This window comes from Homo sapiens, chromosome 17 (assembly GCF_000001405.40).
Source record: "Homo sapiens chromosome 17, GRCh38.p14 Primary Assembly".
NCBI classification, from domain to species: domain Eukaryota; kingdom Metazoa; phylum Chordata; class Mammalia; order Primates; family Hominidae; genus Homo; species Homo sapiens.
Window position 1 is genome coordinate 28,577,574 of NC_000017.11, and position 21,889 is coordinate 28,599,462.

At 46.6% G+C, this 21,889-nt stretch overlaps 1 protein-coding gene and 1 long non-coding RNA gene across 2 annotated transcripts in view, besides 4 other annotated features; one reads left to right on the forward strand and one right to left on the reverse strand.

Annotated features, from left to right (window-relative positions):
• SPAG5 (sperm associated antigen 5) lies at positions 1-21,452 on the reverse strand. Its single transcript, NM_006461.4, has 24 exons — positions 21,323-21,452; positions 20,937-21,062; positions 14,409-15,493; positions 14,125-14,299; positions 8,852-8,926; positions 8,517-8,609; positions 8,291-8,425; positions 7,961-8,080; positions 7,746-7,838; positions 7,529-7,642; positions 7,079-7,172; positions 6,760-6,907; positions 6,577-6,679; positions 6,280-6,413; positions 5,938-6,076; positions 2,436-2,547; positions 2,178-2,264; positions 1,792-1,912; positions 1,568-1,679; positions 1,099-1,179; positions 800-955; positions 645-719; positions 437-517; positions 1-197 (listed from the first exon to the last, which is right to left on the reverse strand). Exons 1-24 carry the CDS (start codon positions 21,371-21,373, stop codon positions 126-128), a joined length of 3,582 nt encoding a protein of 1,193 aa, NP_006452.3. The 5' UTR covers positions 21,374-21,452; the 3' UTR covers positions 1-125.
• Positions 21,114-21,658: an enhancer, noted in NCBI's record as "NANOG-H3K27ac-H3K4me1 hESC enhancer chr17:26925705-26926249 (GRCh37/hg19 assembly coordinates)". NCBI's record gives its function as "activates a minimal SCP1, AML or CMV promoter by ChIP-STARR-seq in primed H9 embryonic stem cells {active_cell/tissue: H9 hESC(primed)}" and the evidence as "EXISTENCE:reporter gene assay evidence [ECO:0000049][PMID:30033119]".
• Positions 21,114-21,672: a biological region, named in NCBI's record as "NANOG-H3K27ac-H3K4me1 hESC enhancer GRCh37_chr17:26925705-26926249".
• Positions 21,363-21,672: a silencer, noted in NCBI's record as "silent region_8345". NCBI's record gives its function as "represses an Ori minimal core promoter by ATAC-STARR-seq in GM12878 lymphoblastoid cells {active_cell/tissue: GM12878}" and the evidence as "EXISTENCE:reporter gene assay evidence [ECO:0000049][PMID:35858748]".
• SPAG5-AS1 (SPAG5 antisense RNA 1) overlaps positions 21,560-21,889 on the forward strand; it is an 18,245-nt gene continuing 17,915 nt past the window's right edge. Inside the window, exon 1 of the long non-coding RNA NR_040012.1 lies at positions 21,560-21,673. This is a non-coding gene — a long non-coding RNA (SPAG5 antisense RNA 1). The remainder of the gene's footprint in view (positions 21,674-21,889) is intronic.
• Positions 21,883-21,889: part of an enhancer, noted in NCBI's record as "active region_11934", that runs on past the window's edge. NCBI's record gives its function as "activates an Ori minimal core promoter by ATAC-STARR-seq in GM12878 lymphoblastoid cells {active_cell/tissue: GM12878}" and the evidence as "EXISTENCE:reporter gene assay evidence [ECO:0000049][PMID:35858748]".

The window sequence follows — 21,889 nt, forward strand, 5'->3', positions numbered from 1 at the left end:
TTCATTAAATACACTTTATTTAAATAGCATTTATCTCAGTTGGCTCTATGCCAGTTGGTCTTGGTATTGGGGTAAGGGGGTATTGCAGGTAAAAAGAGGTGAAGCAGATTCTGGCTTTCAGTTTCTTAGCTCAGAAATTCCAGCAATCCCTGTAGTTCTTTGCATCCCCTCACCACCTCTGGAATAGAGAGCAGGGTCTGGGAAGAGAGGCAGAAAACGCAGCTCAGGACCACAGACTTAAGGCCCAGGGCTCCCAGCCCCAGGAGGCAGCCGCTGAATTAGAGGGGAGAAAACAGACACCACAGAGAAGCCTGCAATAGTGATTCAGGCCCAGCTCTCAGCACAGGCTGGGAACCAGATCTGTGCTCATTAGTACCTCCTGGGGCCAGGCCTTGTACCAGGTTCATTAGTGATATCACCTCCCTCCTGCCTATACCTTATAAATATGCTGAACAATGTCATCTAGTTTTTCTAACTCCTTGTCAGAGCGCCGAAGGTTCTCCTCTAGGATATTTCTCTAGAAAGCAAACAGATTTTATAAGTCCTATGCATAAAAGAGCAAACTTGGTAGGACAGGGGAAACATGGCGGGGCATTTGTTAACGATGGTAGGAAATGGCCCTGGAATGGCATGGACATTCTTACATGGCTCTGGAACTTGATCATGAGTTTTTCCTTCTCATTTTTCATCTCCAGGAACATCACTCTCAGTTTGTCCACCTAGAAATATGTCCAGATCAACAGGGGTACAGCCTGGGGTCCCCACCTGCTGTCCAGCTCCTCTGTTAACTCTGAGTCACCTCCTGAGAGAGCCACACTTTCTCCTGGATCCAATTGGTGGCCATAGGCTGGCAGTTGGAGTCCAGCTGGCCTGCCAGGGCCTCCTGGAGCACTTTGGTCTCTGTCTCCGCACGCCGAAGTGAGCGGGTAAGGTGGGTCACCTCCTCTCTAAGGCTCTGGGAATGAGAATGGAGAGGTGTCCAATAGGACATAAGGATAGACAACATGTGGTGAACAAAAGCAAACCATTTCTCATACTTGGGATCCTGGCTGACCAGTAACACAGAAGGCAAAGGCCTGGGCATGATGGTGAACATACTATGAGCTCGCCACTCTTGTCTATCTGTTCTAGGATCTTCTCATTCTGCTGCTGTATCACTTCCTGGAGCTCCTTTTCATTCTGTGAGGGAAAGGGAGGTGAGAAGACACATGAAGAGCTGGTCTCTTCACAGCCCTTGCCAGGAGGTAGGAGAGAGTGCCTGACCCATGCTTAGCCCACATGGGACCAATTGATATCACGCCAATTCTTTCCCCAGGGCCAAGCCAGGCAAGGCACATTTCAGTGTTGGGAGAGCTCTGCTAGAGTTCCTGACTTCTCTCCTGAGTCAGCCTGGGAAGACAGGTCAGCCCATAGCTGACATGTGAAATGTCTGACCCCAGGAAGGGCAAAACTAGGGCAGTGGTTGGAAAATCCCCACCACCCAGATTCCTGGAGAGATAATGGCTCCCAGTGGGCCAGTAGAGCTGCCCCAGTTCTTCATCGCCCCACTTCTAGGTCCCTCCTTCACCTTGTAGCGCAAGCACAAGGCCTGGTTCAGCTTCTCTATGTCTGCTTCTTTTGCCTTCTGGACTTCCTGATGCTGTTCTTCCTGGGCCTGCAGCCTAGCTTGCAGCTCACAACTGAAGGAAGGAAGAATTTAGCAACATTCCTGTCCTCTCAGGGATCAGTTGGACCCTTGGCATAAGAGGATGTCTCACTGTCCCTCTGTCACCAAAACTGCATCCCACTCACATTTTTCGCTGCAGAGTCCTGATGGCTTCTTCTTTAGACTCTTGTAGCAGGGAACAAAGACTCTGAAGCTCAGTAGTCATAATACTCATTTCTGCCAGGCTCTCCTCCATGCCTGGGGTCTCTGAAAGAGAAAGTCCCAGATAGAGGTCTAGCCTTCCAGCCCTGGAAGGAAGGAGTGTATAGCCATCATTTCCACAACTCTTATCCGTGTTCCCCACCCACAGGATTTGAATGTCTGGAACATTACAGATCCCAGAAGGCAGAAATAAAATGAGCCCAAGTAGAATTGAGGTTTTTAGAGCAAAGCACTTCTCACTGCTTTCGTCTTTACTCATCACCACCAGATTTTCTAGAAATGAGGCAGGATCCCTGGAGCCCCTCCTAACCTGCGGGCTGAAGGGAAACCATTGATGCTACTCGGGTGAAAGCACTCTTGTCACTTCCAAGCAAGGGCACAGGAGTTGATTCTGGCTCTAAGAGAAAAACCAATAATGGGAGAGGGCCCCTCTGATGATCCAGGCAGGGGTCTACCATAATGGAAGCCAGGGTAAGATAGACAAGCCCGCTGGTGGACATCTTCAACAGCAGAAGATATCAGGAGCAGCGTCACAACTTTCCCACCCCCAAATCCCAGGGCCTTTAACCTTCATCTGCCACTGCTGTCAAGATGCTTCCCAGGAAGGTCCTGTCATTAGGCAGAGGGTGTTCCTGGGTGGGAGGACAGGCTGTACTCAGCAGAAGGGTCTCTTGTTCAGTCTAAGGGCAAAGAAGAAAAAATAGCTGCTGTTCAGGTCTAGTGAACTCCTGGGCTTCCAGGTAACTCCCAGCCATCTCCTCCAAAATGCTGTTCCACCTATTATCTCAATTCTCTATCTTCAACTTCTCCATTAGTGCCTTTCTCTGAACATGTTTATATTCTTAAGCCTCTCCAACAAAAACAGCAGTATTTTAAAAACAAACCTAAACAAAACAAAACAAAACCCTTCTTCTTACCTTAAATCCCCTTTTAGCTACTGCCTTTTCTAGAAAGAAAGGAAAGAAAGAAAAAAGAAAGAAAAAAAGAGCCTATACTTCTTGTTTATAACTCTCACCATCTATTGACTCCCCAGCCCACTACACTCAGGCTTCTCCCCTGTCATTCCACCTAAATTCTTGTCATTTGGTTCACCAATGGCAGCCTTACTTTCAAATGCAATGCATATATTTCAGCTCTTGTTTTACCTGACCTATTTGATATTGATGACCACATTGTTCTTTTAGAAACTTCCTTTTCTTAGCTTCCAGGACATGAGTCTCTCTCCTTTAAAGGCAGGCCCCACACCTTTCTGGTTATTTCTTCTCTATTCACAGGTCCTTCCTTAACTGCTGGATCCTCTGGGTTAAGTCCTTGGCCCTAAATTTACTCTAATTCATTCCCAGGGTGGCCTTGCCTTGGGAGCATCACAAAAACATCTACTTCAAACTTCCCTTCCACATGAATGACTCTTCCATCCCTCTCTCAACTTTTTCCCAGTCTTTTTCCCAGTCTGCAGACTCAAAGGCTAACTGCCTGTGAAGAATCTACCAGAAGGTTCCACAGTCAATCTGTCAACTTAGTATGTATGAAGCTGAGTTCACCATTTTCCCTGTGCCCTGATAGGGAACACCCTATCAAAAGTCTGTTCCTACTCCTGTATTTACTATTCTAGAGCAGGGAGAGGGAAGGCTAGCAAATTGTGGCCTACAGGTCAAATCTAGCCTGCCAACTATTTTTGTAAATAAAGTTTTATTGGAACACAGCCAGACCCATTAATGGCTGTATCATCTATGGCTGCTCTTGAACTACAAAGGCAGAATTGAGTAGTTGAGACAGAGACCATATGGCCCAAAAAGCCAAAAATACTTATTATATGGCCATTTATAGGAAAAGCTTGCTGGCCTCAGTCCTGAAGTAGCTGTGCTTGTGGCTGCGGCTGCTAACTGGCTGCGCACAGGTAAGGCCAGGCAAGGCGGGAGCCACTCAACATCTCCGCTTCATTTCCTTGGCTCTTCCCCTGCCATCCTCGTCCTGCTACCTGGGACTCCGGGATGTGCCCTTTCGACCCTTTCCTAACATCTTTGCTCCTTTCCGCGTACTTGAAACCCCATGGCTCAACCTCTTCTGTTCTATCCCTCTTCAGCTCTCCCAGCTGGACCTCAGCTTTTCCAATCCCAAATCCTCCTCTACTTGTTGGATTTTTCCTTGGAGTCTGTCTCTCCTACCCAGAGCATTTCCTTCTCAGCCTGCTCCCTCTCCTCCTAGGCTAGGTCCTCTCTCCAGTTCTCCCGCCTTCTCTGCCCCCCGGTCTAGGTCTCTCCCGCTGACTGGTTAGCCTGAGTCACCACTAGCTCCCCTCAGTCTCATCTCTCTCTCAGGCTCTCTACTCCTTTCAGCCTTGGTCCTCTGCCCTCCCGTCTGGGTGTCTGAGTTGTGGGGAATTGAAGTGCTTCCTATTGCTATCCCTCCTGCCACACAGGTTGAAGTGCTTCCTGGGCACAGAGCTGACCCGGAGGTGTCACTAGCCCTAGTCTCCACACACTAACACAGCTGACCCGCTGGGCCCTCTTTCCTAGCAATCTAAGGATCATCATTCACTCTTCTAACTTACTCTCACATCAAATTGGTCACTCTTACATCAAATTGGTTCTACTGCCTCTGCTTCCTAAATATCTATTGAATCCATTCACTCCATCCTCTCCTTTCTACTGCCTATAAAACTGCCATTATTTCAAGCCTTCAAAATCTGGCCTCCTGCCTACTTCTCCAGTGTTGTCTCCTGCCTTGCCCCACAGAGCTCTCACGCTGCAGCCATGAAGAGCTGCTTCCCATTCCTCAGACTTGCTGCATTCCATATGAGCAGCATCTTGCCTTGTTCATCCTCTAGTCCCAGCACCTAACCCAGGTTTTATAAGGTAGACACTATAAAAAAGAACACATCATGTACTATGTGCATGACTTTCTACGTACGACTCTCATATGTAGTCAGATGAAACTTTCATACACCGTTCCCTCTGCCTAGTGGGACTTCCTAAATACCCTCCCCTGCCCCACAAACGTCTAAACCTCAAGACTGTACCCAAGGTCAGCTGCTTTGAGAAGGCATCCTAATTCTCGAAGGCTGAAGTGGTGCTCCCCTCTCTATCTCTCACAGTGGTCCATGCAGACCTCTACCATGATCATAAGTCAAGATGACAAGTTTACATCTGTTTGTCTTCCATGCTAAACTGTAGATTTGATGGCATTTCCTGTGCTCGGTACCCAGTTGGGGAAGAGGATCAGGTCATAAGCAATTGCCAGATTTTAGGATATTTGTTGTGCCTTATCTGCTGAATAAGCTAATTACCTTTGTATTCTGAATGATGTCAACCATTTATTGTTTAGTGCACACTGCAGGGAGGCCAAAGAAGGCTATATTTCTGCTTTCTTGAAACATAGTCTGGTTGAAGAGACCAGGTATCCAAGGAAAATTAATACAAATACAAAAGAAGAGTAAGTTCATGAGAAATATGGCAGAAGAAAAGATCACCGGGTCCACATGATTTGATTTGGGAACAGTTCAAAGAAGGTAAACCAGGGAAGATTTCTTTTTTTGTGGGGGAAAGGGTTTCACTCTCACCCAGTTTGGAGTGCAGTGATACAAAAAAATTAGCCAGGTATGATCATGGCTCACTGCAGCCTCAACTTCCCAGGCTCAGGTGATCCTCTCACCTCAGCCTCCCAGATAGCTGGGACTACAGGTTCACAACACTACACCTGGGCTAATTTCTGTATTTTTTTGTAGAGATGGTTTTCACCACGTTGCCCAGGTCGGAAGGGAGGATTTTAATAGAAAAGGCATTTCCAGTTTGAAGAAAGAATAGAATGAATGTGGGAACAGCCAGAGTCTGGGTTCTGGGGATAAAAATGGGGACATGTGTGTAGCATACAGGCAGTCTAGCTGGGGCAAAGTGTTCATAATAGGGAGATAGGAGACAGGGGAAGAAAGGTTTGAGCAACAGGCTAATGAGGTCCTGTAGGTAACTGAAATCATAAAAGGTCACAGTTAGAAAAAGAGTAATGTTTTAGGAAGACTATCTGTAAAATAAAGATACAATTGGAAGAGAAGAGAAGGAACCCCAGGATCCTACCTTCTCCTTTAGTTTTGTCTGTAGAAAGAGAGTCAGGCTCTGTAGTTGCTCAGTCAGCAGCCCTAGCTTTTGAGAGTACTGCCGTGTTTTCTCCAGATCTTGCTCCTGGTTATCTGCTATGGTGCTGGCCAGTTTAGCCCTGAAATAAGGAACAGGGAAGATGACCAAAGACCAAATTACCTTCTCTGAACGCCTATCCCAAATCCCCACAGAGCTGCATTAAAGGAGAGAAACAAGAGGCTCAACACTCACAGTTCTCTTCTTGGAGATTTTGGCTTCTAGAAGTGTTCCTGAGAAAAAAATAAGCACTTAGGGGGAAGTACAGAAAGTTAGAGAACTTACGTTAGGTTCTCTACAGTGTCCTTGAGGTTCTCACACTGCAAGCTGCGCTCCCGGAGCACTTCCAGTGTGGTTTTCAATTGACACTCAACCTGACCCAGCTCCAGGTGAGCAACCTGATTCTCCTGGTCTGCAAACTGGGAAGACAAGAGAAGGAGCAAGACAGGGAGGGAGAATTTTAGTGCCCTGGGTACAGAGGCTTTTTCTAGTTCACAGTCTCAAACCTTACCTCAACACTATCAGGCAAGAATCACACTCCTGAGGCTTACCAGCTCCCTTGGCCCAAGCCATATTCCTTACCTCCAAGGTCTCTTTCAGGTCCCGCACCTCTTTGGCCAGGACAGCTTGTTGCTGCTGCAGTTCTGCCTGCATGTGTTTTAGTGCCATCTCTTCCTTTTGCCATCTGCCAGAGACAACATATTAGATCCCATTTGGTCCTAAATCCTGGATGCCTACTGCCACAGTACCCCGTTAGGAACTCACTGAGCAGCCTGCTCCTCATTGCTCTGGGTAAGCTGGCAGAGTAACTCATCCTTCATAGCCAGGTCCTGGGCACAATGGGTATGCTGACTCTGTAGCTCTTTTAGCTGGCTGTCCATGTTGGCCAGAATCTGCAACTGAGCCCGGAGATCTAGAACAAAAGTATCCTAATGACACCATGCGGTCAGCAGGCTAGAAACTCCCCAAACTTCTGCTCCAAAGCAAGTGCTCCTGAGTACTTCCTTGCTCTAGTGCCACACTCCAAGCCTTAACAGGGCTCAAATGCTTACATGCATGCATACACACACACACACACAAACACCTGTTGCTAGACGACTGTTTTCCAACTCCAGTTGTTCTGTTTGGCCTTTGCACTCCTCTAACTGGGCAGAGACTTGTTCCAGCACCCTAGAAACCTAGGAAGAACAGATGGTTTTCCTCCTATAGTTCCTCCTGAATCAATAATCCCAGGACTTGGTCCAGCTTCTCTTTCTGGACAAGACAGAAAACTACCTTGCTCCTGGGCATCAACATTGCAGAAAATAAGGTTGATCCTCAGGAAAAAGTAGAGACAGGAGAAAAGTTGCTGAAGTAAAGATGCTGAAGGGCAAAGGAAAAAACTGCGCTTAAGGCCATCTTACAGCTAAGAGACCTTACTGGCTGGCCTCCAAACCCACAGGGTGAAAAGAAAACAGATCCAGGGTAAGAGGCTAATGGTATCACACATTAGGAAGGAAACCAAGCCTAAGCAGTCCCCACTCTTGGTTTGTACCTCCTGCTTTTCCTCAATTGCCACATCACGTTCCTGCAGGGCTTGCTGGCTCTTGACTGTGAGTTTCTCTGTGAGTTGTCGGGACCGACTCAGCAAAGCTGTCCATGTTGTATACTACCAGGGGAAGCAAGCAGGTCAGTAGAGCACACTTGAGGCAAAGCTCACAACAGGACTTGATGTGAGTAAGGAATTAGTTATGATGGTCCCAAATACTCACATCCAGTTGCATGGACCTCCAGTCTTGTTGCAAGGTAGAAGTAAGACTCACTGTCTGCTGAACCAGCTCTTCTTGCTTGGCATGAAGCCCTACCTACAAAAGAAAGATTGCCTAGGCGGGAACCCCTTCCCTTTGGATACAGCAAAGTGGGAGTATGCAACTACCCTCCCAGTCTGTCAGCACAGACCCCAGGAAAGAAAATGCCCTTAAATTACCAGTTGGGTCTGGGCATCCTTCAGAAGGCCTCTGAATTCCCGCATGGATGCTAGGTCCTGTTCCAGCTGGCTGATGCGCTGGCTGGCGTGTGCACAGAAAGCCTCCAACACTATCTCTGCCTATTGAGGGAAGTGGTTGCAAGGCCACAGTGGGCAACAGGGGAGCCAGCACAAAAAGATGTAACCATGACACCTCAATAGATCAGTTCTTTACTGCCCAGGGCAGGCAGTTCTTAGGCCACCCATCTGTGTCTAAAGTGCATTTGTGTTCCTGCAGGAACCTTGAGGTGGAAACCTCCCACATCCAAGAACAAATGCCTGTCACCTTACCGCATCCTTGCCTCTGAGAGCCATTTCCTCTCTGTGCCTTGCCTCCTCCCTTTCTGCTTTGAGGCTCTGGAGCTTTGCCCTCAATTTCTTCAGCAAATCAAAACAGCAACAGACCAATGTTTCTGCACGCCGAGACTATATGGTAAGAATCAGTTAATGTGTCTGGTTCCTCTTTATGGCTTTTAGTCCCACCACAGGCCTCCACCTCCATCTTCAGGCTGCTTACCTCCTGACTCACAGTAGTCTTATCTTCTTCTAAATGCAACAGGGATAGGTGAAGCAAGGATATCAGCTCTTTAGAGATAAGCACCCATGATTGCTGTAGAGAAAAAAATGGGTAGGTGAGATCAAATAAAGTCACTAAGCAGGAAACAGGGGCACTGGGGAGGAAAACCGCTAACCCCAATTCCAAGCTCCGCATAAGGAGATGTACTTTACAAATGTTTGGAAACCTCCCTTCACCACCACGACTTAGTATCACCATCTACTAACCACCCAGGATTCTCCATTCTTCATCTTCACAGGAGACCCAGTGGTGGTGTAAGGTCAATCATCACTTACCATGACATTTCTGGCCTGCTGTAGGGCCTGTCCCATCTCATGGCTCTCCTTAAGATGCTGAAGTTTATTAGTTATCTAGCCAGAAAAACAGAGTTGTTCCTTGTTTTGTTTGTTTGTTTGTTTTTGAGACAGAGTCTTGCTCTATCATCCAGACTGGAGTGCAGTGGCACAATCTCAGCTCACTGCAACCTCCACCTCCCAGGTTCAAGCAATTCTCATGCCTCAGCCTCCCAAGTAGCTGGGATTACAGGCATGCACTACCACACCCAGCTAATTTGTATATTTTTAGTAGAGTCGGGGTTTCACCATGTTGGCCAGGCTGGTCTTGAACTCCTGGCCTCAAGTGATCCACCGACTCGGCCTCCCAAAGTGCTGGGATTACAGGGGTGAGCCACCATGACCAGCCAAGTTGTTCCTTTTGAGTAGGCAACATGTACCACCAGCACCTCATTCTTCCTCCCACCCAGTGAGTTATAGGAGCCTTTCCTATTTTATTTATTTTTTATTTTCTGTAGAGATGAGGTCTTGCTATGTTGCCCTGGCTGGTCTCAAACTCCTGGCCTCAAACAGTCCTCCTGCCTCGGACTTCCAAAGTGCTCCTGCCACACCCAGCCACCTTTCCTATTAAAAGCAGAAGCAAAGTACTCAATTCAATGAAGCCAAGTCAGAAAGAAAAATCCACAGGTAGGTAAAAAATTTCTTTGTTTAGCCAGGCACAGTGACTCATGCCTGTAATCCCAGCACCTTCAGAGGCTGAGGCAGGAGGATCACTTGGGTCCGGGAGTTCAAGACCAGCCTGGGCAACACAGTGAAACCCCATCTCTAAAAAAAAAAAAAAAAGGCTGGGCGCGGTGGCGCACACCTGTAATCCCAGCACTTTGGGAGGTCAAGGCGGGCGGATCACCTGAGGTCGGGAGTTCGAGACCAGCCTGACCAACATGGAGAAACCCCATGTCTACTAAAACTACAAAATTAGCCAGGCGTGGTGGCACGTGCCTGTAATCCCAGCTACTCCGGAGGCTGAGGCAGGAGAATCACTTGAAACCGGGAGGCAAGGTTGCAGTGAGCCGAGATTACGCCACTGCACCCCAGCCTGGGCAACAAGAGTAAAACTCCGTCTCAAAAAAAAAAAATTTTTTTTCATTAGCCAGGCATGGTGGCACATGCCTATATTCCCAGCTACTCAGCTGGATTGAGGTGGGAGGATCCCTTGAGCCCAGGAGGTAGAGGCTGCAGTGAGCCATGTTCGTGCCACTGCACTCCAGTGTGGGTAACAGAGTGAGACCTCGTCTCAAAAAAAAAAAAAAAAAAAAAAAGGATGAACCAATTTATATCCTGCAGATAAATAGAGTATGCTTACCAGCATTACCTATTTTATTCTTTGCTATTGAGTCACAAGAAAATGGCATCTCACTGTTCAATTTGCATTTTTTATTGCCAATAATGCTAACCTTCTTAGGTATTTATTCATCATTTTTACTTTCTTAATTGTCTGCTCATTATCCTGGGTCAGATAGATAAAACTCATAGTATGCATAGAGTAAGTAGGTATGATCTCAAAGGCAGTAGAACCCCAGAAGACAAGTTCTAAGAGAAAAGTGGGAGTCTTCATTACTGAGGCAAGGCAGCCATCATCTGGGGGAAAAGTTACTACTGGAGCAGCACTGCTGATTTCTTGGAGTTCATGGCTCCCTTCCCCAGCAAAGCAGTTATCATTCACTGCTGCATCGTGAAATAAGGCACAGAGTAGCACATGAGCTTGGATAGGGCTCACATCGTGCTCAGCTGGACAGTCAGGCAGGTGATGAGATTAATGTGAAGGAGGCAGCCAGGCAGCAAGGACATGGCATGCTGATGGAGAATGGCTAAAGGTATGTCATTTCCCCTCTTTGGTTCTGCTTCAGTGGCCTACAAAGGGACCTGGCAACCTTCAGGGGAAGAGGATGCATGGCAGATTCAGGGATGGGAAACAAGGTCAAGAACAAGAGGAAAGGACACAAAGATAAGAAAACAGGAGGGAAATTGAACAGCTGGAGGAACATGGAGCTTATGGTTTCCAGGATTTTTGGCAAATGGTAAGGTCATTACTTTGAGGATATTTTCAACTCAAAGGAGGTCTCTGCACATTTGGGGACCATCTCTTCTTAGCAGCAGCCACCTATTATCTCAACAGCCACAATGGTGAGGTGCTATCAATTCCTTCACCTGCCACCATTCCCTTCCTTCTTAGGCCTGTGTTGTAATACAATCCTCTAGAACATTGTTGTTGTTGTTGTTTGAGACAGCCTCACTCTGTTGCCCAGGCTAGAGTACACTGGGTGATCTCGGCTCACTGCAACCTCTACCTCCTAGGTTCAAGCAATTCTCATGCCTCAGCCACCCAAGTAGCTGGGATTACAGGAGTGCACTACCATACCCAGCTAACTTTTGTATTTTTAATAGAGATGGGGTTTCACTATGTTAGCCAGGCTGGTCTCAAACTCCTGGCCTCAAGTGATCTGCCGGCCTCAGCCTCCCAAAGTGCTGGGATTATAAGCGTGAGCCACCACATTGGGCCAACAGTGGTCTTTTAGCTACTTTCCTCTAATATTTCCTGCAAAAACTAAGTACCCTTAAGTTTAAATTGTTGCAAAGGCTGTAATGTCCAGCATATTACCAATATTGACAATTTAAAATAATTTTTTTTTTTTTTGAGACAGAGTCTTACTCTATCCTCCAGGCTGGAGTGCAGTGGCGCGATCTTGGCTCACTGCAACCTCTGCCTCCCGGGTTCAAGCGATTCTCATGCCTCAGCCTCCCAAGTAGCTGGAATTACAGGTGCCCTCCACCACACCCAGCTAATTTTTGTATTTTTAGTAAAGACGGGGTTTCGCCATGTTGGCCAGGCTGGTCTTGAACTCCTGACCTCAGGTGATCCTCCCGCCTCGGCCTCCCAAAGTGTTGGGATTACAGGTATGAGCCACCATGCCCAGCCTAAAATAAAATTATTAGATTACTCTTAAATATATCCAGTGGCATAAATACTACATACACCAAAATGATGAGATACCTAGTTGCTATCTTTTAAAAATACAAGAAAAAGCTCTTCTTAGCAGTCAGAAATTTTATTATGTCATCCCTTTTTCTCTTTGAACATATATTTTTTATTTTTCTCAGAATTTCAGCCTAATGTAATATATTTTTATGCTTTAAAGTATGTTATTAGCTGGGCACAGTGGCTCACACCTGTAATCCCAGTGCTTTGGGAGGCAAAGGCTAGCAGATCACTTGAGCCCAGGGGTTTGAGAACAGCCTGGCCAACATAGCAAAACCCCATCTCTACTAAAAATACAAAAAAATTAGGTAGGTGTGGTGGCATACACCTACAGTCCTAGCTACCCAGGAGGCTGAGGTGGGAGGATCACCTGAGCCAAGGAAGCTGAGGCTTCAGTGAGCCCTGATCGCAACATGGTACTCTAGCCTGGGTGACAGACCAAGAAACTATCTCAAAAAATAAAAATAAAATCTGTTATTAACCATCATCTCTGCAACAACAATGAAAGTTCATCTAAATTTAAATTAAAATTTCCTTTAAATTCCTTTGACCGGAAGGCTTTAAAGTGAAAAAGCTTTCTTTAGGATAGAGAAATCTTTTAATCAGTTGTATATTAGTCACTGTAATATAATTTCTAATAAAATAAACATGCTCGGCAAAATTTAATTGGGAATCACCTATTAATGAAATCGATGGAGATTCCTTCCCCTTATTAGTTCGTATATCTGTGGATTACTATAATTCCAGCAATAAGAAATAGTTCAGCAACAATTCGTGACTCTGTTTTTTGAGGCAGGGTCTGGCTCTGTTGCCCAGGCTGGAGTGCAGTGTCAAGATCTCAGTTCACTGCAGCCTTGAACTCCTAGCCTCAAGTGATCCTCCACCTCAGCCTTCCAAGTAGCTGGGACTACAGGCACACACCACCACACCCAGCTAATTTTTGTATTTTTTTGTAGAGATGAGGTTTCACCATACTTCTCAGGCTGGTCTTGAACTCCTGAGCTCAAGCGATCCTCCCACCTCACCCTCCCAAAGTACTGAGATTACAGGGGTGAGCCACTATGCCAGCTGACTCCTTTCCATTCTGACAGATGTAAACACTGAGAAATCTTCTTCACATAAACAACAGGGGCCAGGCGCAGTGGCTCACGCCTGTAATCCCAGCACTTTGGGAGGCTGAGGCAGGTGGATCATGAGGGCAGGAGTTCGAGACCAGCCTGGCCAACATAGTGAAACCCTGTCTCTACTAAAAATACAAAAATTAGCCGGGTGGGGTGGCATGCGCTTGTAGTCCCAGCTACTCAGGAGGCTGAGGCAGGAGAATCGCTTGAACCTGGGAGGCAGAGGTTGCAGTGAGCCGAGACCAGGCCATTGCACTCCAGCCTGGGTGACAGAGTGAGACTCCGTCTCAAAAAAAAAAAAAAAAAAAAAAAAACTAAAAGTATAATTGGATTGCTTGTAACACAAAGGATAAATGCTTGAGGGGACAGATACAGATACTCCATTTTCCATTTTCCATGATGTGATTATTGACCATCACATGCCTATATCAAAACATCTCATGGACTCCATGAATATATTTACCTAACTCTGTAACCACAAAAATTAAAAATTATTTTAAAAAATGTTTTAGGCTTATTCATAATTTTTCTTAAAATATTAAATATAGTCTACCAATGCAAAAAACGAAGAAAAAGAATACTTGTGGAAGATGATGATCTAAAAACCAATTCCTTTAAAAGTTTCCTTGCTTGCACTCCTTTGGAAAGTTCTGATGTACCCCAGGGGTAGAGTGACTACCCACAGCTTTAAGGGGATTTTCCAGATCCTCAGCTTTTTTGTTTTAAGAGACAGGGTTTCACTGTCTTGCCCATGATCATAGCTCACTGCAGCCTTAGCCTCCTGGGCTCAAATGATCCTCCTGCCTCAGCCTCCTGAGTAGTGAGGCATGCAAAACCATATCCAGCTGATTTTTTAAAAATCTTTTGTAGGGATGGGATCTCGCTGTGTTGCCCAAGCTGGTTTCAAATGCCTGGCCTCAAGCAGTCCTCCCACCTTGGCCTCCCAAAGCAGTGGGATTACAGGCATCAGCCATTGTGACTGCCCAGATTCTCAGCTTTTGCAAATGTTCTAAGTATAAGCCTGTGATAGGAGTCCCCTTTGCCCTCTGGCAGCTTCTCAGCTTAAATTCCAAGGATCCCCACTGGGATCCCTCAAGCTTTGAGAGGAACCTTCTTACCCCACTGTGAGATGTGTCAGTCTGTGTGCTACTGTCCTGGGTTTCTGGGTGAGGGACAGCCAGCTGGCTCTTCCAGTCCCGAAGCTGGCGGGAGAGAACCTCCAGAATGACAAGAGAGCTCAGCAGGTTATCTTCCAAGTCATGTCGAGACAAGGCAGTCAGATCTGGAGGCCGGCTGCAGCAGAAAGAGAAGAACATGACGAAAAGAAAAGGAGGGGAAGGGATGGGAGGGGAAGGTCCAGGGTAATGGAACTCACGAGGTGCAAGGACATAGGGGCGCTTACCCACACAGGAGCTGCTCTGTCTCAGAAGTACTGTGCTTGGTGCCAACCAGGCCTGTCTGGGATGTGTTTGTACTCTTTTCCTGTGGTGCTGAAGGAGTAAACCAAGTCCCCACCGAGCAAGTAGAGAAAGGGGTAGTGCCAATTGCAGCATCCCGAAGCATCGAGGGAAGGGATAAGCTTTGGCGGAGATTTTCCAGCATGACGGAGGTATTTACACCTTTTTCCAGCCAGGCCAGTGGGGACATCCAAGACTCTGTATCAGAGCCAAGAATCCTACCAACATCTTCTACTGCTGGGCCTGGAGCTTCTTGGGATTCCATTTCTACTAGATTTGGTGTCAGGCATGTGGACAGAATATCTTCCACACTTGAGACAAGTGCTTGATCTTCTGTTTCAGACTCCTTAGGATGTGTGGGAAACCTCATTTCTCTTTCCTCCATAGCTCCATGCTCTACAATTTCCTCCTCTGGGTCCACATGATTGACACGGAAATCTGCTGCCAAGGCAGTTGAAGGGGAAAGCCAGAGAACAGAGGAAGGCAAGAAGGCGTTACTTTCAGAAGGTACTAAGTCCTCACGCACAGCCTCAGTTCTACTGCTCAGGCTTTCCTTGGAGCAATGTAGTTGTTCAGAACAGGGATTTGGTGGAGACTCCTCTAAGAGATGGGACGGAGATTCCTGAAAGATAGGTTTCTCAGATACAGCAGCAACTTCTGAAAACCTGTCTCCCATGCAGGGTGCCACCTCCTCTCTCACCAGATCGTCTGTTCTCAAAGGTCCATTTAAAGATATGCTGTTTGTCTCTGCCATGGTATCTAAACGGGCCTCAAATATCATGTCTTGTTGCTGCCCCAGTGGAGATGGTACAAGGACGATGGTTTTAACCATATAATTGCCCAGTGGGTCTACTGCTTCCTCAGACGTTTTAGGAGTAGAGCTAATTTGGGGAATTGGATCTAGAGGCTGCTCATCTGATTCATGCTGACAAGTTTCTAGCCACTTTGAGGAATGACTGAAATGTTCTGAAGATAAGTCTGTCCTCTTGTTATTTACAAAATCCACTGGAGATGAGTTGTTGCTGCCTTCCTGCCAAAGGAAACAAAAGTAGTTGTCTAAGGCAGTCAATTCAGTTCCCGACATACAATTACAGGTGCAAGATAGTGCACTCAAAAAAGAAAAGAATTCTTACTACCTCTGCTTAGGTAAGAACTTGGCTAATCTTTGTTGCTCATATAGAGACCCAATAGTAGGGAAAGAAAAGCTGCTAAGCCATTTTGGGTCCTTCCAAGTGAACCAGCCTACATTATAAACAGGCTGAGAATATAGATCCATATCGTGGGCAGATGGTAGCTTGAAAGTGACCCCACTCATCTCCATTCTGAACTCTAACGCACTTCTAGATGAACAGATAGGAGGGGTCCATAGGGTGTGAGTGAAGGCTTAAGCTCTGTCAGAATCTAGAGTTGGTACAAGTTCTTCTCCCTCTCGGCTGGGCGCAGTGGCTCACGCCTGTAATCTCAGCATTTGGGAGGCCACAAGCAGGTGGATCGCTTGAGTTCAAACCTCATCTCTACTAAAAATACAAACATTAGCCGGGCATGGTGGTGCTGATGTGTGCCTGTAGTCCCAGCTACTCAGGAAGCTGAGGTGGGAGGATCACTGAAGCTCAGGGGGCAGAGGTTGCAGTGAGCCAAAATCGTGCCACTGCACTCCAGCCTGGGTGACAGAGCAAAACCCTGTCTCAAAAAAAAATAAATAAATAAATAAAAAAGGTAGACCCTAACAAAACAGAGCTGCTGGAAGACACAGATGATAATCTGAACAACAACAAAAAAAACGAGTACTTAAGCTTTAACTACAACATAAATACACACACAAAGACATTTTAGAAATAATAAATATTATTTTAAATAAAAAATGTCAGTAAAATGAATTGAAAGAGTAAATTATTAGAGTTGAAACTAGAATTACTGGCCTGGACAAGTGGAAGAAATATCTTAAAGCAAAGATAAAAATATAAAGAAATGTAAATCTGAAGAAAAAGCTAAGAGAATTAGAAGATAAACCCAGGATACCTAACAGTTAAATAAAAGAAATTCCAGAAGAGAACATATATACATGAGGCGCTGATTAACAAATATTAGAAGAAAACTACCCTAATGAAAGACCTGAGTTTGCACATTAAAATGGCTCACCAGTTTCTAAGCAGGACTGACTAGAAAAGATACATGCTAGACACATAATTATAAAATTTCTGTGCTACAATGAAGAAAAAACTATTCTGGAAGCTTTAGATAGAAAGTCCAATTATTTATTAAAAAAATAATCAAACAGACCGGGCGCAGTGGCTCACGCCTGTAATCCCAGCACTTTGGGAGGCTGAGGCGGGCGGATCACGAGGTCAGGAGATCGAGACCATCCTGGCTAACACGATGAAACCCCGTCTCTACTAAAAATACAAAAAATTAGCTGGCTGTGGTGGCGGGCACCTGTAGTCCCAGCTATTTGGGAGGCTGAGGCAGGAGAATGGCGTGAACCCGGGAGGTGGAGCTTGCAGTGAGCCAAGATCGTGACACTGCACTCCAGCCTGGGCAACAGAGCGAGACTCCGTCTCAAAAAATAATAATAATAATAATCAAACATATGAAATTTCTCATTTATATTAGTGGATGAAACAAAACCAAGGTTAGGTTAAAAAGGGCTTCTGATATTCTGGTACTGTCCTACTTACTGACCTGGGTATTAGTTACATGGATGTGTACTTTATAGTAATTTGTTATGCTGTTATGTTTTATTGTAATTTCATGTATCTTACTTTAATTTTGAAATTATTAAAAGGTATGATGGCTCACACCTGTAGTCCCAGCTATTCAGGAGGCTGAGGTGGGAGGACTGCTAGAGCTCAGGAGTTCAAGGTTGCAATAAGCCAAGATCACACCACTGCACTCTAGCCTGGGTAACAGAGCAAGACCCTGTCTCAAAAAAAAAAATAAAAAAGACAGGGCATGGTGGCTTACACCTGTAATCCCAGCACTTTGGGAGGCTGAGGCGGTCAGATCACAAGGTCAGGAGTTCGAGTGCAGCTGGGCCAACATGGTGAAACCCCATCTCTACTCAAAATACAAAAATTAGCTGGGCATGGTGGCGGGTGCCTGTAGTCCCAGCTACTCGGGAGGCTGAGGCAGGAGAATCGCTTGAATCTGGGAAGCAGAGGTTGCAGTGAGCCAAGATCGCGGCACTGCACTCCAATCTGGGCGATACAACAAGACTCCTTCTCAAAAAAAAAAAAAAAAAGACAATATAAAGATGAGTGTGTGTGTGTGTGTGTGCATATATACAAAATAGACACACATAAAGAGATGTATGAAAGAACTGTCAAATATGACATTTATCTAAGATACCAGAAATATTTCTTCCTTATACATTTATATATTCAAATGCTTCAAACAATTAATATCTATTAATAATCAAAAATTTACAAAACAGGCCAGGTGCAGTGGCCCACGCCTGTAATCCCAGCACTTTGGGAGGCCAAGGAGGGTGGATCACTTGAGGTCAAGAGTTTGAGACCAGCCTGGCCAATGTGGTGAAACCCCGCCTCTACTAAAAATACAAAAAATTAGCCAGGCATGGTGGCACGCGCCTGTAATCCCAGCTACTGGGGAGGCTGAAGCAGGAGAATTGCTTGAACCCGGGAAGCAGAGGTTGCAGTGAGCCGAGATCACACCACTGCACTCTAGCCTGGATGAAGGAGTGAGATCCTGTCTCAAAAAAAAAAAATTAGGCCGGGCGCGGTGGCTCACGCCCGTAATCCCAGCACTTTGGGAGGCTGAGGCAGGCAGATCACGAGGTCAGGAGTTCAAGACCAGCCTGACCCCCAACATGGTGAAACCCTGTCTCTACTAAAAATACAAAAATTACCTGGGCGTAGTGATACATGCCTGTAATCCCAGCTACTCAGGAGGCTGAGGCAAGAGAATTGCATGAACCTGGGAGGCGGAGGTTGCAGTGACCCTAGATGGCACCACTGCACTCCAGCCTGGGTGACAGAGCAAGACTCCGTCTCAAAAAAAAAATCTGCCAGGCGTGGTGGCACACACCGTAATCCCAGCTACTTGGGAGGGTGAGGCAGGAAAATTGCTTGAATCCGGGAGGCAGAGGTTGCAGTGAGCCAAGATTGTGCCACTGCACTCCAGCCTGGGCAACAGAGTGAGACTCTCAAAAAAAAAAAAATTTTTACAAAACAAAAATAATTGCTATTTTATTGGGGAAAAACCCTTTTCATTGTGTAGCTGACTGCATCTGGAGGTAGTAAGCCCAGCAGTTAAGAGGGAAGGAGAATTCGATTTCAATCTAGTATTCTGCTATTGTGATTAAATAATTATGGTTAAATTCTATAAGTTCAGGCTGGGCGCCATAGCTCACACCTGTAATCCCAGCACTTTGGGAGGCTGAGGTGGGCGGATCACCTGAGGTCAGGAATTCGAGACAAGCCTGGCCAATATGGCGAAACCCCGTCTCTATTAAAAATACAAAAATTAGCCAGGCATGGTGGCACGTGCCTATAATCCCAGCTACTAGGGAGGCTGAGGCAGGAGGATCGCTTGAACCCAGGAGGCAGAGGTTGCAACGAGCCAAGATCGTGCCATTGCACTCCAGCCTAGGGAACAAGAGCAAAACTGCATCTCAAAATTAATTAATTAATTAATAATCATAATAAATTCTATAAGCTCTATAGAGCTAATTTCCACCTAGTACTTATTTATTTTTCATCTTAAGCTGTACTGTCTAATATGATAGCCACTAGCCACATGTAGCTATTGAAATTAAAATTAAAAATTCAGGCCGGGCACAGTGGCTCACGCCTATAATCCCAGCACTTTGGAAGGCGGAGGCGGGCAGATCACCTGAGGTCAGGAGTTCGAGACCAGCCTGACCAACATGGAGAAACCCGTCTTTACTGAAAATACAAAAATTAGCTGGGTGTGGTGGCACATGCCGGAGGCTGAGACAGAAGAATCGCTTGAACCCGGGAGGCAGAGGTTGCGGTGAGCCGAGATCGCGCCATTGGACTCCAACCTGGGCAACAAGAGCGAAACTCCATCTCAAAAAAAAATTAATTAAATTAAATTAAATTAAATATTCAATTATTCAGGCCAGGCACAGTGGCTCACACCTGTAATCCCAGCACTTTGGGAGGCCGAGGCGGGCGGACCACTTGAGGTCAGGAGTTTGAGACCAGCCTGGCCAACATTGTGAAACCCTGTCTCTACTAAAAATACAAAAAATTAGCCAGGCGTGGTGGTGTGCACCTGTAATCCCAGTTACTCAGGAGCCTGAGGCAGGAGAATCGCTTGAGCCCTGGAGGCGGAGATTGCAGTGAGCCAAGATCACGCCACTGCACTCCAGCCTGGGTGACAGAGCAAGACTCCGTCTCAAAAACAAAAAAATTCAATTCTTCAGTCACCTCAGCCACGTTTTAAGTGCTCAATAACCATGTGACTAGTAGTTACCATGCTGGACAGCACAGATTATCAAATATTTCCCTCATCCCAGAAAGTTCTATTGGACAGTAGGTATTTTGCAACTCTTTCAAGAAAGACTGCTATGCTATCATCATACTTCTGTTACTCAGGATGTCATCTGTCTATACACTCTTCTTTCCTCCTCATACCTATTTTATTGATATCCCATCTCCTTCCAAAAATAATTCATATGCATGAAAATGAATAGATACGATTAATGAAATAACAAAGTCATGGTCAAAAAAGAGGAAGCAAAACTTCCTATACAGCTATAACAGTAGCTGTATGTGATGATCCAGTTTGGCCTTGAGCTTTCTAGAAGGCAGAGCAAGAGGGAAAATATGGTAAACTACATAGTTCTCATTATCAGAAAGAAAAGGATAGCAATTTCTTCAGGAAGACAATTTTTCCAGGCAGTTAGTCCTAAAGCCTTTCTTGGAGGAATCTTATACAGGAGTCAAGCTGCTTCCTTGACAAGTTTTGACAGCAACTGAAATGCAGTTTCTACATGGCTACGTCTCTCAAAACGTTTAACAAAAGTACAAATCAGTGAGGGCAATTCTGCAAGGAGCTAGTTTAAACTAAGGTGATTCAAGTACCCTACCTTCCAGTGGTGTAACTTGATCCCAGGAGAGTTCTAACTACCTCCTAGAGTAAATGGATATTGCCTCAATCTTGCAGGTGACTGACCTTTCCGTAAGTGACCCCATGTTGGAGGAAGAGCACTAATCAGGGTGGTAGGATTTCTCAATAGTTTGATAAAGGTCGAAGGGAGGAGGAGGAGGTAATAAAAACTAACAGCTAAACAGAGATTCAAGTTCTCACTGGATTTCCTTTAACCACCCTAGGGCACCTCTCTGTTGGCCTGAATAGCTGTAAATGGATGTCACCGACGTAGAAGACTTCATTATCGTTATTAATTATTGTAGCCCTGGCCCTCTGTTCCCCTGAGCTCTCACCCTGGGCAAACAGCCCAGTCGAGAAGCTGTCCAGGCGAATCTCACCTGCAGCCCCAGCTTGCACAGTGATGGGGTCAGCGAGGAGCAAGCGGGGGATCTTTTTCCAGAGTTGGTGAGGGCACCGGGCTGCAGGGTAAGTTCACGGAGAGGAGTTCTCATAGATGGTTTTCCCTGAGAAAGAAACCAAGAAAGAGGGCGAGTGTGAGGAAGCCTGGGTTCTGCCAGCCCGCCCCTCCTCCCTCCCTAAGAAGCCCAAAATGCGATTAGAAGAGTACGCTCGCACCCTAGTCGCGCAGGAGCAGCAAGGCGAACAAAGACTCCACAAGCCCCCAACCCCGGGCTCGACCCAACTTTCCAGGACAGTAGACACGGCCGGTGCCCCCGCGACAGCAGCCCGGCCCAGTTCTCTCCGCCAGAGATCTCCCGCTTACCGTCTGGGGCGAAGGCGACAGGCTGAGGCTCAGTTTTTTCACTCGCCACATCTTCAACCAGAAGGCAGGCCTATCACGTCTCAGACCAAGTCGAGGACGCCATGTTCACCCGCCGTCTGTGTTTGAACCTGCTCTGCGCTTCCTGGTTGGCTGCTTCAGGCGCGCGCGTACGCTCGGGGGTAGAGCCCGGGGGGCGGGGCCCGCGTTGACCACGCCCCCGGCCCTGCCTGCCCCTCCGTTGTCGAGCGTTTTCCGCTGACGGAGCCCTCACCTCAGACACCGGCGGTAGGGCTGGATGCGGGCCCGGCCCAGGACCGGTCTTCTGTCCTCACACCGGGGAGGACCACGCAGGTAGCTGGAGAGTCCAGGAGTCCATCCCTCCTGCTTCCAGCGGACCTCCTCACATCCATGGTGTTCATATCCAAGTTGTCTCCGTGGATGGAGAAGAGGAATCCTCTCCCTAGGTCTCCCTCAGTCCTCTCCAGCCGCAGCCTTGACGGGAAAGAGCCGGCCAGGGAGTCTAGAAGCCGAAGCGGTGCCGAGCGGCTTCCCTAGGCTTGGTGGGCC